Consider the following 17,712-nt stretch of genomic DNA (forward strand, 5'->3'; position numbering starts at 1 on the left):
CTAGGAGGTGGCGTAGTAGCTATTTTTAATGGTGACAAATGCACTTTGTTTTTAATGTTGACTCTCTTTTAGATAAATGTTATTGCAGTTATTATTTTTTGTGCACAAATTGTTACAACTTCTTTAAGCTGGCTCTTATGTGCTTTTGACTTGATTACATTTATCTTTGACTTCTGGCCCAAAAGAATACCTTATGCCATAAACTATAATATATATTTTATATGAGGTACAAAATATACATGTTTTCATATGACTGTTATATATGTATTTGAAATTCTATCAGTATATATAAAATGAAAGAAAAGAATAATATGCTTTTGTTTAGTTCACCATTTATCAAAAATTCATTTTCCTTAAGTCTAATCATGTTTCTGCTTATGTATATTTTTTAAATTTTCTTTTCTAAATCATAGGAAATACCCTCTTTTTACATTCAACAGATTAAAAACCCCACTCAAATTGTACCCGATAGAATGTGAATAGCTCATATAAAATATGAGAGGAGGTAGCAGGCAACACTGTCTCAGCAATGTAAAGTTTCAATTTGAATTTCAAGGATCCCCACTATAATATTTGGGATCTTTAGTAATTCAACATTATATTTGTATGTAAATCAAGATAATGAACATGAATTTATACTGGACACAATACGTCTGGTTGAGAGATTTTTCTCTAATATATGGTTTGAACCCAAACCCAGGAAAGATAAATGGCCATATTTATTTAGAATTAAGGTTCTGCCTAGTGGTGTGACAGAAATTGAAAGGACAAAGGGACTTGAAATACTGGTAAGAATGATTGACATGGTGTCCTTTGGATTCTAAATGTCATCTGTATCATGAAGAGCTAGAATTAAGCCAGAAGGATTGAAGAGTATACCTGATCACAGGATCTCTAAATTAATATTTCAGTAGTGGCATATTTTTGGTGATGTACCTGACACATGGCATGTTATAGCAAATGTTTGTCAGATGAATGAATGACAAAGTCCAGGGAACAGCTAAAAGAATAGGTGGCAGGGGTGTATTTGATCATGTAAGATGAGATGGCAAGGAAATGAGAGTCAAATCTGGAGGATTTGGACATGACTATGCCAAATTAACTTTGTAATATAATTATTGGTTGATTTGCCTGAGTGATTAACATTAAATTATGAAGATACTTCCAGAAGGATGTAAGTTCAGTGAGTTGAGAGGCAGTGAACACTTTAGTTTTGTCAATAACTTAAAATTGATTTGGTGGGGTCAAATTATCTAGACTAGAATTAGCCTAGTGTAACTGTCTGTCTTACTTACTTCTTCAAGAATGTTTTACCTGTCCAAAAGGCGGCTTCACGAACTCTATGCATTTTTCTGCGTTATAATCGTAAACAAGAACAGAGACATGAGGTCATTCAAAAATTAATTGAACGTAAGTAATCATTGTCTACTATTTTGAAAAAGGAAAGTAAACAAACTAGTTGGCTTTAGTTATGTCTAACTTATGTATCATTTTGCTGTGAATAATTAGGTTACTATTGGGTTTTATAAGATGATTTTTATTTTCTAGAAATCCTTATGGCAAGATTAGATCTGTGATGAATGAAAGTAATAATTACTCTGTTTTCTTTTGTAAATGTCTACACTTTAGAAATTAAAATATATTTACTTATATTGAAAGCCCAGTATCTCCCCTGATGAAATAGCATTTGGAACTAAAATATAAATAGAATATCCATGCATCTAATCATTTATTTTATGGTCCTATTTCAATATTCACATAATTAACAGAATCTGGGATTTTTCTTTGAATAGAGTTGATAGTATATTTGAATATTAATTTGATGAGCCTAGTTGGTTTATAATGTCTTAAGAAACTAAGTCAGTTTACAAATGCAAATTTATTTTAATTTGTTAAGAGCTAAAATCAAGGCAAAAACATTTGGTTTATAGTATTGATTCTAGAAATAGTTGCACACACCTATATATACTTAGTGAGTTTGTTAATTATTGTATATTTGCTTTGCCCATAATGTCTTAATATTTTTACCAAACTATATTATCCAGCATAGGCAGGTAATGGGATTTTCTAGTTATTGGAGTTTACCAGTTTAAGTGTGTATCACTACTTTTCAAAAAATTAGAGTACTTTTATAAAATTCCATTTAAGAAAAAATATGCTCAGTATACTTTAATCTTTCTTTTTATAGTCTTATTTTAATTCGGTTTTCATTTTTCAGTGGCAAGAGCTCATGTTTAGAATGTTTTATTTTGAAAGAAGATTCAGTTTGGTTTTATTTTTGAACATTTATGTAAAAAGTAGAAAATTAACCTTTTAAATATTGACCTGAATTATTGTCAGTAATGCTGTTTATATATGACTGTATCTACTTTAGGCATTTTTAAGGAAACAAAGGGAAGAAAACAGTTAATTTGATTATTAAAACACTTAGAAGTTATACAGAGCTGTGTTTGAATTCTAGCTCTGCACCTGCCAGCTGTGTGACTTTAAACTCACTAAATCTTAGTATCCTTATCTTTTAAGAGGAAGAAGTATGTGCATCCCTTGGGCTGCTTTTCAGGGCTAAATGAGATAATATGTGTAAAGTACTTAGCACATAGTGGGTGATAAAAAGTAGTAAATACAGTCATTCCATAGTTAATAAATGCTTATGAAATTGAATGAAATGTTTGACAAAACTGTTTTATGGTTTTTGAGGTGTCATTTTGGGGATTTACAAACCTGAGGTATATAATAATGATATTTTTCCTCTTATGTCTTGTATTTGCTAGCCAAATTGTGGGTATGAAGAAACTTCTTATGCATTTTGTGTGTCTAACTTTGTCACTTTAATTTCATATAGGAAAAATTAACTTAAGATAATTTTTGTTGTTGTTTCTAGAATTGGGCCAAGGAAAAAGTTACTGGAATAGACTTCGATTTTTGGATACCTGTGAATTTATTATAGAGATATTTTCAAAATCATTTTTCTGTAAATATTTCTTTCTACCTGCTATTGAACTGACACATGATCCAGTAGCAAATGTGAGGTATGTTATCAATGAAGGAAAATATTGGAAATTGTATTTATTTTTATCTACTATAGTGAACATATGCAAAATCTTTTCCTTAGCCAATTAAAAACTTAAGTCAAGAATTTACACGTGCTTTGAAATTCTTAGTATTCATAATTGATGGGCATCAGTAAGACTTGGAAGCATACTCTTTCAACACTGTCTCAGATCTTTTGTCTTTACTGGGTTGAGAGCAGTTAGTCAAAGCCAGATTGGTAAGCTTCTTCGGCCATTTGGATATACACATTGAAATGATTAGAAGGTTGAGTAGATGTTATTAATTTATCTACCATTAAAACTAAAGAAAAGACGGTCAGTAGCCTTATCACTTCAAAGTTGTTTGGTGAGCATCCGTTAGTTTCTAGAGGCCCATTTATTCAAAGAAGTAGAACTGCTTCAAAGTCTTCATCTTGTCTTCTATGTTTTGCCTTATATTATTGAAATCCAGTAAAATGTTAATTGCATTTGATTAACTGTTAAGTTGGAAGGAACAGACCTGAAAATGGCTTGCCTGGAAATGGAAAAAAATAATAAATATATTTTGTCCTTTTTCTCTCCAAAAGAGCACATCACTTCCTTTTTTTTTACTGTGGTAAAATATGTATAATATAAAATTTACTATTTTAACCATTTATAAGTGTATAGTTGAGTGGCATTAAAGTACATGCACATTATTAAGAGCTATTTTTGTACATTTGATAATAGAATGAAAAGAATGTTAAACCCTCAGCCATTAGATTTCTGTGTTCTAAGTCCTGTGTCTCTATTTTGAACTTGAACTCAGATCTGCAGGAAAGAGAGACATCAGAGTCAGTTGGCCAAAGGCATTCCTGAACAAACTCTAGAACTCCCTGCTGAATTTTCATACATTGGGGCACTTAGTCTTATGCATCTGAAAGATGCATATGTACCACTTTTATAAACAACTGATGTGAATTTTAGGCAATATGTAAAACATCAAAACTTTTTAATAGGAAGAGTTGGTGAGATAATAAGCTAACTGAGATTAATAGTCTTGGTGTTGAGATATATATGAAGATGAATTGTCAAAAGATACCGAAAAGTTCAACTTAAGACTTTTATGAGCATTTTTTAATGGGAACAAATCTAGAAGTTTTTCTTTTGTATTTTAAATGTGAGAAAATACAGAAAGCACAACTGCATTGACTTTAGTTTTTGTTGCATATTTCTTGTGCTTTATAAATGAGAGGTGGGGTATTGCTGACATTTAAAGTGAATTGAAAAGAACCTTTTGGGCTGGGCGTCATGGCTCATGCCTGTAAATCCCAGCACTTTGGGAGGCCGAGGCAGACAGGATCACTTGAGGCCAGGAGTTTGAGACCAGCCTGGCCAACATGGTGAAACCCCATCTCTACTAAAAATACAAAAATGAGCCGGTCGTGGTGGCACATGCCTGCAGTCCCAGCTACTTGGGAGGCTGAGGCAGGAGAATCGTATGAACCTGGGAGGTGGAGGTTGCAGTGAACCGAGATCACACCACTGCACTCCAGCCTAGGTGACAGAGCAAGACTTCGTCTCAAAAAAAGGAACCTTTGGTAATTCTTTAGATTTTAGCTCTTCCTAAACAACTAATGGGTCCATCTTTATGAACATTTTGTGAATTAAAATTGTGATTCTATAAAAGCAACTTTCAATGTGATGTATTGTCACTTATCAGGCAGTTGACAAAAATAATTTGAAAGGAAACGAAATCATCTCTACTTTGATCAGTGTAACTAAGAGCATAACATTGACTCTTTGAGAAAGAAATCTGCCAATTCAAAAAACCAAATGAAGAGTAATTAAATATTACTCTATTAATTTCAGAGATCTGCAGGGCAGCAGATTATTGTATAACTGTGTGTCTTGGTTCCTACTCTCTTGCCTGGCCAGCTGCCAGCCAAGATATGTGTCCAGCAACACTGTATGCTAACTGGCTTTGGGTATAAAAGCCCTTGCTCAGTGCTTTAGGGATGTGCAGATAGAATGAAAGCCATCACAGGCAAGGGTGGTAGGATCATGTTGGTTAGGAGGACAGTTTCCGGAGCCACACTCCCTGAGCTGAAATTCCAGCTCTATATTAAATGTGTATCTTTAGCCAAGTTACAAAACTTCTGTGTGCATTGATTTCCTTAGTACCTAATTTATAAAGTATTCTGAGGTACAAATAACTGAGATAATATACATAAATTATCTGAAAGGTGTGGTCCCTAATCTCAAGAATTTGATCATCTCATGGGCCCAGGAGTCTCATAGAGATGAATCATTACGATGGCTTGGGTAGCTTCTGCTGAATATCTGTTTTCTAGACATGCCTTGGGTTATAAAGAATGGAGTGTGCATAGATTGTTAAGTGTTTTTGTTTTTCCTTAAGTTAATGTTTAAAATTTAAATTCACCAAGTTTAGACAATGTCAAGCTGGAAAAAGACTCTTGGTATTCAGAGAAGCCTTTTCCACAGCTGCCAGAAATGAAATAATTTATTTGGGGGGATTGATACTCCTTAATTAGAGAAAGCATTACTAGGTTTAGCTGTATCCGTGGTGAGCTGTGAATGAGATTGAGACCATTGTTGCTATTTACAATGCTGGAAATTCTACAGGAGGAGCTTCTTTACCCTTTTTGGTTAAATCAAAAGCAAATTTTGTTGTATATGAAGAATCCTCAAGTAAAAATTCAGCTGAGAAAGTGTTCTGGAAACTCTAAAAATGGGATTCAGGTGTCTCAAGGTTGCAATAAAAATAAAAAATAATAATTTGTAGAGCATTCAGATGAATAAATGAATATAGCAGCTATAAAATAGATACCCACCTAGCATCCCTCTCTAAAACAGCCATGGAAAAAGAGTAGACTTTTAGCTTAGCAAAGGAGAGTATTTCCTCTGAAATGCCTCCTCCTGGAAAGGCTTTTTTTTAGGCTCTGGGATTTACTCTTAACTTCCTGGCATTCTTCAACCTCCTTGTTTCTTCCTTTCCAACCCAGTCTAGACTGTGGTAGTGCCTTAGACCACCTTAGACTAGGTCCTTTTATCCTTTTCTTCTCTAACTGTACACATTACTTTGGTGATCTCTCCCATTTCATGGTTTAAATATCATCTCCTTGCTGAAGATTCCTCACTCTATCTCCAGCATTGACATCTACCCTGGACAGCCAACTTATTGAGCCTGTTGCCCACTTGCATTTCCATTGCATATCTGATAGAAATCTCAGACTTAATCTGTCCAGAATTAAATCTTCATCTTTCTTATCTGCTTTTGCTCCTTCTGTAGTCTTCTCCATCTCAGGAAATAACCATCACATCTGCTTAGATGAAAACCTTAAATAAATTCTTCTCTCTGTCATTCTACCTCCAATCCCTCAGCACATCCTGCTGCTGGTAAAAGATATTCAGAATCCGGACTGGGCGCGGTGGCTCCTGCCTGTAATCCCAGCACTTTGGGAGGCCAAGGCAGGCGGATCACAAGTTCAGGAGATCGAGACCATCCTGTATAACATGGTGAAACCCTGTCTCTACTAAAAATACAAAAAGAAATTAGCCAGGCATGGTGGCGGGCACCTGTAGTCCCAGCTACTCGGGAGGCTGAGGCAGGAGAATGGCATGAACCTGGGAGGCGGAGCCTGCAGTGAGCCGAGATCACACCACTGCATTCCAGCCTGGGCGACAGAGCAAGACTCTGTCTCAAAAAAAAAAAAAAATGGTATTCAGAATCCAACTACTTCTCACCACCTTTTACTGCTACCACTCTGGTTCAATGTACCATCATCTCTTGCCTGAATTATTGTAAGAGCTTTTCCTATTGTTTCTCTTTTTCTGTTCTTGACTAGCTGCAGTCTAATTTCAACACAGTAGACAGATGATGCTTGTAAAACATTGTCAGATCATTTCACCCCTCTGCTGAAAACCTACCAATGGCTTCTTGTCATACTCAAAATAAAAGACAATTTCCTTACAGTAGCCCTCAAAGCCTCTTATTTACCACTCTGAGCTCTCCTGCTAGTCTCACCTTCACTCTGTTTAGGCATAGTGGCCAATTTGCTCATTTGGACCAACAGTAGAGACAAGCTCTCTATATTTGCTGTGATGCTCTTTTCCAGATATTCACATAGCTCATTCCCTAATTTTCTTTAGGTCTTTGCTTAAATATCATCTTTTCAGTGGAACCTTCAATGACAACCCTCTTTGGCCACCTGCTTTAAAACTGATTAATCCCCTGCCCCTGGTACTCCCTTGTCTTTATTCTTCACTTTATTTTTCTCCATAGCATTTAACACTATCTGACAGATTTTACTTGTTTCTTTTCTCTTCTCTGCTCCCATACTAGAATGTAAGTTCCAGGAGAGCAGAGAATTTTGTTGGTTTTATTTACTGTTGTATCTCAGCATCCAGAATGATGAATGTTTGACACATAATAGACACTCCATGAATATATCTTGCATGAATAAATGAACTCTCAGGCTATCTAAAACTTGATTTTTGTTTTATGTTTCTGTTATTCTTAGTTATTAACTTCACTCAAGAGTAAATACTATTTTATTGTAGAATGAAACTTTGCTACCTGTTGCCCAAAGTGAAATCTACTCTGAAGATTCCTGCTGATAAGCATCTACTTCAGCAGTTAGAAATGTGTGTGAGGAAACTCCTGTGTCAAGAAAAAGATAAAGATGTTCTGGCTATTGTAAAAAGAGTAAGTATCACTCTTGCCACAATGTTGCATTTTTTGCATTAAGGCAGTAAGAATCTTAGCTTCACTATTTCAGCTTGACAGGATAGCAATATATTACAATATTTTTATCCTTGCTAAAATTGTAAGAATTAGTAAATGATTTGGTTGATATGTGCTACAACTGGATATGAAACTTTCGAAGGGCACCTAGACATTAAACCTGTATTACTAGTAATATAAGCCCATGTTGAGAGAGTTTGACACATGTTAGGTGCTCAATAAACACTGTTCAATTAATAATGAATGTTTTATTCATCAGACTTTCTTTATAAGTGATTATAATCCAGTGAAACTTTGTTGGTAAAATTGGCAAAGTCACATTTTATAGAAACTTATCCCTGGAAGGGCCCTTTGAGTTAATTCAGGGGTCTGTTTGACTTTATAGAAGTTATATGCCTAGAAATATTGTGTCTACTTGAGATCATATTAGTAAGTAGCAGAATCAGGAGGACTAGAATAGAGACCTCTTACCTGCTCCTGAGTGCATTTCTTTGTAAATAATGTAACATTGTATCCTATGAGTTTTTTGTTTGTTTTAGCATGAGATCTTAGTATATGGATTCTTTGGAGATGTTGGAAAAACTAAACAGTAAAAATTTGGGTTAGTGAGCCACATCTTAGAATAATTTTTACTCTTCAAAAATTGTTTATGCTGAATATATAACTAATATTTTTATAAGTTGAAGTGAAATTATTTACTTTTATGAATCTGAATATAAACTTCAGGACACATTGTTTTTGAGCATTTATTTATAGTGAGGGAAATTTCCTTATTAGTGTCATAAATAAATTAGCATACATGGTGAGAAAAGAGAGAATTCTTATTTTTTCTCTTTTTTTCTAGAAATCATTGCCAGATGTCACATGAAGAATCTTTTAATTAAGTGATTTGATGACTTAGTATGAATTAGTATAGTTTTAGTTTTAATGAAATGTGAATTCTTCTTTCATTAACTGGTATAACCAGAAATACGTAGAGTTGCACATGCATTTAAATCTACACACACACACACACACACACACACACACACACTTGTTTCTACCAGACAGTTCCTTCCTTACTATTTAATATTTAAGTATAGAAGTTTAGGCAATGGAGTTAACTTGTCAAAATAATAAACATGAGATGGTTAATTACTTTTCCAGAATAATTTATTAATTCAAGAGACAATATAAGCTAATGCTATACAGGTGTAACAGTGATGTAATAAAATTAATGGATTATTAGTCTATAGTGGATTATTCTGGAGTACAGCTCTTATTTTCAGTATGCTGCATATAGTGAAGCCAGTCTGTCACATGGAAATTCTGTAGTATAATGAGACATTAGTATGGAAAACTCCCAGGAAGCTACACAAAACTTTTGGATAAAAATTGAATAGTTTCATCAGTTTTATAATATGAGAAGTAACTTTATTTAAAAAGAGAGTCTTTCATGGCATGCATTATGAATTTTTCATAAATTTCAGCAGAAAAAGCTTCCACTAAATTTTATGTTTGTCATGGATAGCTTTGGGCATATGCATATCCAAATGTACTTTATTTTGGCCATTAGGGTTACTCTTGTAGAATAAGTTTTAGAAGTACTGCCCTCTATCAGAGACAGAACCCTGGGTTAGATTGACCATTGTTTTGATTGGGATAATTTGTTTCAAACTAGTGTATTCCAAAAGACAAATAGTAAATTGAGAGAATATTTTCAGAGCAGATATAAAATTTCTACAGAAGGGAACTAAGGATTATTAGGCCCCATGATGGCTTGTCTCATTCATATATAGCTAAAAGACTTTTTAAAACTTCAAAAGCTACATTATGTTTCTGAAAATTCAGAAAAGATTGGCACTGGGAGTTACTAGAAATTAGTTAGATTATATGCATTTGGTATTTGAAATATGCCTGTAGACTTGGTCTTCTTAAGGTTAAAAACTTTCAAAAGTTAAAATTGACCCTGGCATGATTGTATAAAGATTGATTGTAAGTACAATGTAGAATTGGGCAGAACTTTAGTTTTCTGACTTAGTCTTCCCCCTAGTGCAGAAGTCTTCTATTTGAACCTCCATTTGCAAAATAAGTTGCTGAGAAATGATTGGTTGTTTTAATTTAATTACTTTAGAATAATTTTAAAAACTTTCCTTATAGACTGTATTAGAGTTGGACAGAATGGAAATGTCTATGGATGCTGTAAGTATACTCTCTTTACCTTATTGTGTTGGTCCATTTTCATGCTGCTGAAAAAGACATACCCAAGACTGGGCAATTTACAAAAGAAAGAGGTTTAATTGAACTCACAGTTCCACGTGGCTGGGGAGGCCTCACAATCGTGACAGAAGGCAAGGAGGAGCAAGTCACATCTTACATGGATGGCGGCAGGCAAAGAGAGAGCTTGTGCAGGGAAACTCCCCCTTACAATACCATCAGATCTCGAGAGACTCATTCACTATCATGAGAAGAGCATAGGAAAGACCCACCCCCATAATTCAGTCATCTCCCACCCGGTCCCTCCCACAACATGTGGGAATTAGGGGAGCTACAAGATGAAATTTGGATGGGGACACAGAGTCAAACCATATCATTTATATTGAAAGGAATATTTTAAACTTGGCAGAAACTCATCACTAATGTTTCACAATTTCATTTTAAACTTTAAACAGTTTCAGAAAAAGTTTTATGAGAAAGATTTGTTGGATCAAGAGAAAGAAAGAGAAGAACTACTTCTTTTGGAAATGGTATGTTGTTTTCACATGCACACACATATACTCTTTTCTGATTAATAACTGTGTTTTTTTATTAAACTTAATCATTTCTTTCCATTTCACCATTTCACATTACTCTTTTTTCTTCTTAAATGATAGTCCAGTTTTTTGAAATCTGTTCTTTTATGAACTAGATAGAAAACTATATTTGAGAGCCTTTTAAAAAAACTACTTTGCTGAAGTATAATTGACAACTACATATATTTAAAGTGTACTATTTAATGAATTTTGACATATCGATGAAACCATCACCACAATGAAAATATGAAACATTTCTATTCCTTTAAAGATTTCTGCCCCTTTGTAATCCATGTCTTCTACTCTAGTCCCCAACAACCAATGATATAGTTTCTGTCACTGTAGATTAGCTTGCATTTCCATAATTTATATAAATGGAATCATATATTAGGTATTAATACTATTTTTGGTCCTGCATCTTTCTACCAACATAATTACTTTGAGATTCATCCATATTATCGTATGCATCAAGAAGCCATTCCTTTTTATTTCTGAGTAGTAGTCTATATTTCGGATATATCACAATTTGCTTATCCATTCACCTCTTTATGGACATTTGGCTTACTTCTAATTTGGGGATATTACAAATATAGTTGCTTTGAACATTAGTGAAGAAGTCCTTGAGTAGACCTGTTTTCATTTCTCTTGGGTAAATACCTAGGAATAGAATGGCTGATTTGTATGGCATGCTTAACTTAAAAATAAAATAAAACTAAATTTAAAAAAATGGCCGGGTGTGGTAGCTCATGCCTGTAATCCTAGCACTTTTGGGAGGCCGAGGCAGACGGATCACGAGGTCAGGAGATCAAGACCATCCCGGCTAACATGGTGAAACCCCATCTCTACTAAAAAATACAAAAAATTAGCTGGGCATGGTGGCGGGTTCCTGTAGTCCCAGCTACTCAGGAGGCCGAGGCAAGAGAATGGCGTGAACCCGGGAGGCAGAGCTTGCAGTGAACCGTGGTTGTGCCACTGCACACCAGCCTGGGTGACAGAGTGAGACTCTGTCCCCCCAAAAAACAAAACAAAACAAAAAAACCTGCTTTCAAGTGGTTGTACCATTTTACATCTACATTGTCTATGCTGGAAAGCTTTAGTTACCAGCCATACTATTGGGTATGTAATGGTATCTCATTTTTTTTTTAATCTCTTTTTCTATTCCTGATGCCTAAAGATGTCAAGCATCTTGTCTTTGCTTACTGGCCATCTTTATCTCTTATTTGATAAAGTTTGTTTTCAGAATTTTAAGTGGGTTGTTTATTATTGTTGAGAGGTAAGAGCTTTTAATTCATTCTGAATACAATTTCTTTCACAGATATACATATTATGAATTTTTTCTTGGAGTCTGAGGCTTATCTGTTCATTTATTAATGGTGTCTTTTGAACAACAGAAATATTTGATTTTGATGAAGCCCAGTTTATCAATTCTTTCTTTGATAATTCTTTTTTGTTCCAAGAATCCTTTGTCTGTCCCAAGATCATAGATTTTTTCCTCTATTTTCTTTTAAAAATTTTCATTTTAGGTTTTATATTTAGGTTTATGATCCATTTCAAGTACATTTTTATATAATATATGTTTATTTTTTTCCATAGGGAATATTCATTTATTCCAGCACCATTTGTTAAAAAGCCTTCTTTTCCCCATTGAATTGTCTTAGCGTCCTTAAGAAATAGTTGTACACATATGTGTCTATTTCTTGACTTCCTATTATTCTGTTCCACTTATTTATAAGTTTATCTTTTAAGCAATACCAAACTGTCTTGATCACTGTAACTTTATAGCGTTCTTGAAATTTGGTAGGATACGTTTTCCATCTTTGTTCCCTCTTAAAATTGCTTTGGCCAGTCTAGGGCCTTTGCATTTTGATATGAAGTCTGGAATTTATTTCTACGTATTTTATGTTTTTGGCATTATTATAAATGGAAGTATACATTTTTTTATTTCACTTTCCAGTTTTTTGTTGCTGGAGTATAAGAATACTGTTGATTTTTATATATTAACCTTGTATCTTATAAACTTTCTAAATTTGTTTATTCTAAAAATTGTTTTTTAGATTTTCTAAAACTAAAATTTTATACGTAAGTGATCATATCTTCTTTAAATACAGCAATATTACTTCTTTCTATTCAATATTTATGCCTTTTGTTTCTTTCTTTTGTCTTATTGCAAGATCCAGGACCTCCAGTAAAATTAAGGTGGTACAAGTAGGCATCCTTGTCTTTTTACTGATCTTAGGGGGAAACAGTTCAGTCTTTCATCATCAGGTATGATGGTAGAAATAGGTTTTATGTAGATTCCCTTTATCAGATTGAGGAAGTTACCTCTTACTCCTAGTTTGCTAGGAGTTTTTATGAATGGTTGTTGCATTTTGTTGTATCTAGAAATGATATTTGATTTTTCTCCTTCATTCTGCTAATATACTGAATTACACTGATTTTTCAAATGGTAAACCAATGTTGTCTTTTGGAGATAAACCCTATTTGGCAATGGTTTATTGTCCTTTTTCTCCATTGGATCCTTGGCTAATGTTTTTGTTAAGGGATTTTGCATCTGTATTCATAGATTCATAGTGAAATTGGCCTATAATTCCCCTTTTTGTCATTTTTGGGATTAGATTTGGTATTAATGTTATTCTGGCCTCATAAAACAAGATGGATGGTATTCCCACCTTCTCTATTTTCTGACCAAGTTTGTATAACTTGGTTTTATTTTTGCCTTAAGAGTTTTATAGAATTCACTAGTGAAGTTATCTAAGCCTGGAATTTTCATTTTGGAAAGTATTTTGATAATTGATTCTATTTCCTTAGTAGACATTAGATAATGTAGATCTTCTGTTTCTTCTGTTGTCAATTTTGGTAAGTTGCTTCCCTTCCACCCCAGTTTACATGTTATTTAAACTGACAAATCTGTTGGCATGAAGTTATTTATAATATTCTATTATCCTTTTAATTATGGCATTAATCTATGATGATAACCATTTTATTCTTGTGTTAGGGATTTCCTCTCTCCTTTTTTTGGAAATTTTTTTTGCTTGTTTCTCTAGGGATTTTAATATCCATACCTAACCTTTTACAGTCTACATATTGTTATTATTATATCATGTCACTTAACAATAATACAAATCTCTTTACCTCCTCCACACCCATTCTTCATGTTACAGTTGTCATATGAATTATATCTGCATTGAAGACCCCACCAGTGTTGTAATTTTGCTTTAAGTTGTCATATGTATCTTGAAGAATACACTCTTAGTGTAAACTTTTACATTTACTCAGATCTTTACCATTTCCAGTGCTCTTCATTCATTGCTTAAGATCTAAATTTCCCTCTGGTATTTTTTTCCTTAAGATAAAAGAATTTTCTTTAGCAAATCTTGAAGCACAGGTCTTCTGGTGACAACTTCTCTTATTTTTTCTTTATCTAAAATGTCTTATTTTTACCTTCATTCCTGAAGGATATTTTCACTGGGTATAGAAGTCTGGGTTGACAGCCTTTTCCTTACTGCATTCTAATAATGTGTTTCTGTCTGTCTTCTGGCCACCATAACATCTGATAAAATAGCTACTCTCATTGAATTGTTGATGCTTCTTTATGAAGCATTGTTTTTCTCTGGACACTTTAAATATTTTTTTCCTTTAGCTTTTGTTTTTAGCAGCTTACTTTTGATGCATCTAGGCATTATTTACTTGAAATTTATCCAGTTTGGATTTGGTAATCTTACTGAACCTGTAAATGTATATCATTCCCCAAATTTGGGAAGATTTGGTCATTGTTTATTTAAATATATATTCTCTTCCAATTTTTCTCTCTCTTATTTCTGGGTCACCAGTTGCACATATATTAGATCGTTTATTATTGTCCGTAGGCCAAGAGGCTTTGTTCTTTCTCAATTTTTAAAAAAACTCTGTGCTACTCAGTGTGAATAATTTCTCTTGATGTATCTTCAGTGTTACCAACCCTTCCCTGTCATCTCCATTCAGCTGCTGAGCCTATCCAATTAATTTTTTTATTTCCAATATTATATTTTTCAGTTCTAAAATTTCCATTTGGTTCTTTTAGTGTTTTCTATTTCTATGCCAAGAATTTGTGTGACTAAAGTGGAAATTTTATTATTTCAGCAGCCTTTCAAAGCAAGATTAGAATTCAGGATTGCCAGTGGGAGAAACTGTAGGGAAGACTCTAAAAAATTTTAGGACCAAATGACCTAGCCCAAGACAAAAACAGACAATAGAAAGAGAACCGCAGATAATCCTGATACTGGAATTAGTAGACAAGGACTTCAAGATAACTGTGATTAATATGATCAAGATAATAGAGGCAAACATGTAGAAAATAGATAACTCCGTTAATCCAACCCAATGAAAATTTTCAGTTTTATGCTTTATTTCTGTTTTAGAATTTCCATTTGATTTTTTTATGTAGTCCACTTCTATGTGGAAATTCTTTATCTTATTTTCTCCATATTTTTCCTTAGTTTACATGTGCATTTGAAAAGAATATTTATTCTCCACTTGTTGACTCTAGTATTCTAGCATGTCAGTTATACCAAGTTTGTTCAGAACTTGCTGTGTTTGTTGATTTTCATGCCTATTCTGTTAGCATAAGGGCCTCCTGTGTTTTGGTAACGTTTTGTTTCATGATATTGGAGCTGGTTATACAAGTGCGTCTATTTTGGGAAAATTCATTGAGCTATGAATTTGTATACCTATAATTTGTGTACTTTCTTTATACATATTTATGTATGTATATTTGAGATGGAGTCTCACTCTGTCACCCAGGCTGGAGTGCAGTGGCATGGTCCAGGCTCACTGCAACCTCCACCTCCCGGGTTGAAGTGATTCTCCTGCCTTAGCCTCCTGAGTAGCTGGGATTACAGGCGTGCATCACCATGCCTGGCTAATTTTTTTTATGTTTTTAGTAGAGATGGGGTTTCATCATGTTGGCCTGGCTGGTCTCAAACTCCTGATCTCAGATGACTCACCCATCTTGGCCTCCCAAAGTGCTGGGATTACTGGTGTGAGCCACTGTGCCCAGCCTCTCTATGTATATTATACTTAAATAAAGCATTTAAAAATATCCAAGACCATTTTCTTTTCTCTCAATCTTTTTAAAGAAAGATATTATTTAGCCATTTACCAATCTGAAATTGAAACGACCAAAGTAATGGATATTTTGCTAATGTGATTTAGGAAATACCGTCTAGAAAATGAAGGGTAATTATTACAATGATACCAAACTCATTGTTTTAGCTTGACAAACCCTCAAGGGCATAATTCTGTAGATATGAAAAGAGCACAAATCTGAAAGAACCCTGAATTCTTTAGACACTAACATTGGAAAAAAATACTTCTTTTAGGCATTTTTATGAACTTTACTTGAATCTCTAATGCTTAATTTCTCAGAACAATTTTCTAGACCTACTTCAGTTGTACCTTTAATGCAAGATACTGTCTTAATAACAGGAACAATTAGAGAAAGAAAAGCAACAGAATGATGGAAGGCCCATGAGTGATAAAATGTTTGAAAAGAAACGTAAGTAGTTTTTCTATGTCTTCAACACTTAATTACATAATTAATGTTGCATCCTGGTATTCTGAAAGACCATGCTGAATTTTTTATTTGATATGGAAAATTGCTTTACTTTCTTTCATTTTTGAAAAGTCGTTTTTGAAAATTGGCCACTTAATGTGGTACAGATGTTAAGAGTACATGAATGAAAGGCAGGAACCAGGGTGGACGTTCAGATGCTTCAAAAGAAAAGCTTCAAGTCTGATAACAGCTGTAAGATTGTGAAATTGATCACTGAATAACAAAGATTGAAATATGTAAATATTACCAAGTAAGAATATTTGGAAAAGAAAGCTGCTTAGCTAGGGATAGTGATTCATATTGTCTGAGTTGTCTTGTGTATTTATGGAGATTAATAAGGACTTAGAGGAAATTATACAACTTAAAGCAGAATTTATTTTAGGTAGAGACACTAAGACACCAACGCAAAGTCTGCCCAAGAACATCCCCATTTCTGTTCCTGGACCCTCTTCTGTCACCCCATCGACAAGTAAGAAATAACTTCTTTTTATATCTTTTTGTAATTTTTCTTCCTTGTATACAAATTGCTGGGAAAGTCACTCTATTAGATGAGATACAGTAGGATAATATATCTCATTCTAAAGCACTTTTCACCTTCTATCATTAGGTGTTTTGGTAGTTTTTAATTGGTAGTAAGGGTAAGAGATACTTCAGTGAGCTCAAATTAAGGAAAAAAGGCTAAAGCCATCTGTGTTTTACTGAAAATGATGGTAGTTGGGGAGGGAATGGGGGTTGGAGCAGCCGAGGATGAACTGAATACATTTTTCTTTTTTCTGCTTATTGCTCTAGGTAAAGAAATCAAGAAATCCAAACTGATTCGAAGCCAGTCTTTTAATAATCAAGCTTTTCATGCAAAATATGGCAACTTAGAGAAATGTGCTAGGTACGATCTGTAAGCCCTTCAATTTTTAACATAATTTTTATCTTTATTCACATCTTCATATATATGAGTTTACATTTTATAAAAATCAGAATTAATTTTGAGGTTTTTTTATAGGCCAGTATTTTGTGAGTGTTCTTCTGTAGGGATTGTTATATTTAAAAATAAGAGACCTCCAACAATTTTCACAAAAATAGGTATTCTGGCATTCTAGGAAGAATACTGACATGATACTATTTAATAATATCATAGAATCCATATATTATTTCATGAGGGAGATAGTAGTATATCACATGTGCCACTTAACTTTTAATACGTATGAGTATGTTCCATTATCTAAATGTATATAGACATCCCTTTGCTACTAATATTGTTTCTGTCTATAAAGAATCCATTGGCATGTTCATATGATAAAGTGATCACAGCAGAGTTAGCGTGACAATAGATGAATGTCTGGTTTCCCCTTTAGCCCAGGAGACAAAATTACAAGCAGTTAAGATTAGGATAGAATCAATATAAGTTAAATTACCATGATTTTTTATATGTGCTATACAAACTGCTGTATGTCAATTGACAAGCAAAATAATTTTAAGAAAACAAATATCTTTAAAACTATTCCTTTGTCTATCAAGATAAATTACATGTTTCAGGAAAAAGTATTTTTCTTTTATTAAAGATAGCTTCTTACAGAATTT

General features: G+C 33.6%; 1 protein-coding gene across 10 annotated transcripts in view; it reads left to right on the plus strand.

The window, feature by feature from the left end:
* Positions 1-17,712, plus strand: part of PPP4R4 (protein phosphatase 4 regulatory subunit 4) — a 105,413-nt gene that overhangs the window by 74,546 nt on the left and 13,155 nt on the right. For 9 of the 10 annotated variants that reach the window (NM_001348144.2, NM_001348143.2, NM_058237.2 and 6 more), the window contains 8 exons: positions 1,305-1,410; positions 2,882-3,029; positions 7,593-7,737; positions 9,916-9,957; positions 10,428-10,502; positions 16,011-16,080; positions 16,520-16,606; positions 16,927-17,020. In NM_001348144.2, the coding sequence (NP_001335073.1) occupies positions 1,305-1,410; positions 2,882-3,029; positions 7,593-7,737; positions 9,916-9,957; positions 10,428-10,502; positions 16,011-16,080; positions 16,520-16,606; positions 16,927-17,020 (767 nt within the window). Of the gene's footprint in view, positions 1-1,304; positions 1,411-2,881; positions 3,030-7,592; positions 7,738-9,889; positions 9,958-10,427; positions 10,503-16,010; positions 16,081-16,519; positions 16,607-16,926; positions 17,021-17,712 lie in introns of all 10 variants that reach the window. The other variant, NR_145441.2, reaches the window with a different exon arrangement.

Source organism: Homo sapiens, chromosome 14 (genome assembly GCF_000001405.40).
Source record: "Homo sapiens chromosome 14, GRCh38.p14 Primary Assembly".
NCBI classification, from domain to species: domain Eukaryota; kingdom Metazoa; phylum Chordata; class Mammalia; order Primates; family Hominidae; genus Homo; species Homo sapiens.